We start from the raw sequence: 1343 nt of genomic DNA, 5'->3' as shown, positions 1-1343 counted from the left end.
TTCATGCCCGGGAAAACGGAAACTCAGTCATTAGAAGTTTGAGAATTCTTAGAGTCACAGAGGTACAATGGACATTGGGGTTGAGACAAGAGAGGAAGAACAAAATCAGAGTCATAACGGGGTTGGTAAAACAGGTAGCTCTTGAAATCAGAAATCTGGATTTCCATGACTGAGTGCAATGACTCGTGCCTGAAATTCCAGCACTTTGAGAGGCCAAGGTGGGCAGATCACTTGAGCCCAGGAGTTCCAAACCAGCCTGGGCAACATGGTGAAACCCCATCTAGGCAGAAAAAAAAAAAAGAAAAAAAAATTATCTGGGCGTGATGGTGCATGCCTCTAGTTCACTACTTGAGAGGCTGAGGTCGGAGAAGTGCTTGAGCCCAGGAGGTGGAGGTGCAGTGAGCAGAGATCGTACCACTGCACTCCAGCCTCGGTGACAGAGCAAGACTATCTCAAAAAAACTCAAAACAACAATCTGGATTTCCAGACAAGAAAGCTGAGCACTGACTCCATGGATGTGTGTCTATACATATTTGAGTTAATATGAGAATTCATTTCAATACTATCATTTAGTCATATCTTCACAACCAAATTCATCATGTTTTTGTTCAGCTATCTAACATCATGGAATTAGATTATGTAAATCTTTAGTGAAGGCTTTGCCAGTTAATTTGGTACATCTTTAATTATATCAGTGTCTTTAGCTTTTCTTAGGAATTTCTTTGCTCAGTTTTGTTTGCTTCACTGGCTCCCCGGGCACACGGTCCAGATTGATATAATTCATGTTTATGACTAAGTACAGAGTCCCCGAAGCTGCATTTTCAGTCAACATGCTATGAATTGTCATCATTAGAATCTGCAAACAGATGTGAAATATTTGTACATAGGTCTCAGGTTTGGTCATTTTAATCCACAACTGATTAATATTCTGTTTTGGGAACATTAAAAACTGTAATTATTTTCAAAAAATTGCCAAATAAAAGTGTCTACTTCTTATTCAACCTGACAACATCCTCTGAGAATCTTCCTTTATGAGATGAAAGGAGATTTTACTATTTTTGGTACTGTTTAGCTAATAGAGTCCTAGGAAGTTGCATTTGAATTGAATTATTTTTTGCACCAAACATTATTAAAATTTTACTTAATGATTTGGTAGCAACATTATAGAGGTGAAATGAAAAATGATAATAAACTACTTGATTTATAACTATTACTACATAAAAAAACCACTTAAAAGTTTGCAAAAGTACCTCTACTAAGTAAACTAGCTGCTGATGTCATATAGAGAAATACAGATAGAATCACCTATTTATTTTGTGATTAAGTTCATAAAAATCTACATT

The 1343-nt window shown here is 36.5% G+C and overlaps 1 annotated feature.

Annotated features, from left to right (window-relative positions):
• Positions 298-504: a silencer, noted in NCBI's record as "fragment chr4:181292383-181292589 (GRCh37/hg19 assembly coordinates)". NCBI's record gives its function as "represses an EF-1alpha promoter that drives an FKBP-Casp9 reporter gene in an ReSE screen in phorbol 12-myristate 13-acetate-treated (for megakaryocytic differentiation) K562 erythroleukemia cells {active_cell/tissue: K562(+PMA)}" and the evidence as "EXISTENCE:reporter gene assay evidence [ECO:0000049][PMID:32094911]".

This window comes from Homo sapiens, chromosome 4 (genome assembly GCF_000001405.40).
Source record: "Homo sapiens chromosome 4, GRCh38.p14 Primary Assembly".
NCBI lineage: Eukaryota > Metazoa > Chordata > Mammalia > Primates > Hominidae > Homo > Homo sapiens.
This window is presented reverse-complemented; position numbering and strand designations above follow the sequence as displayed.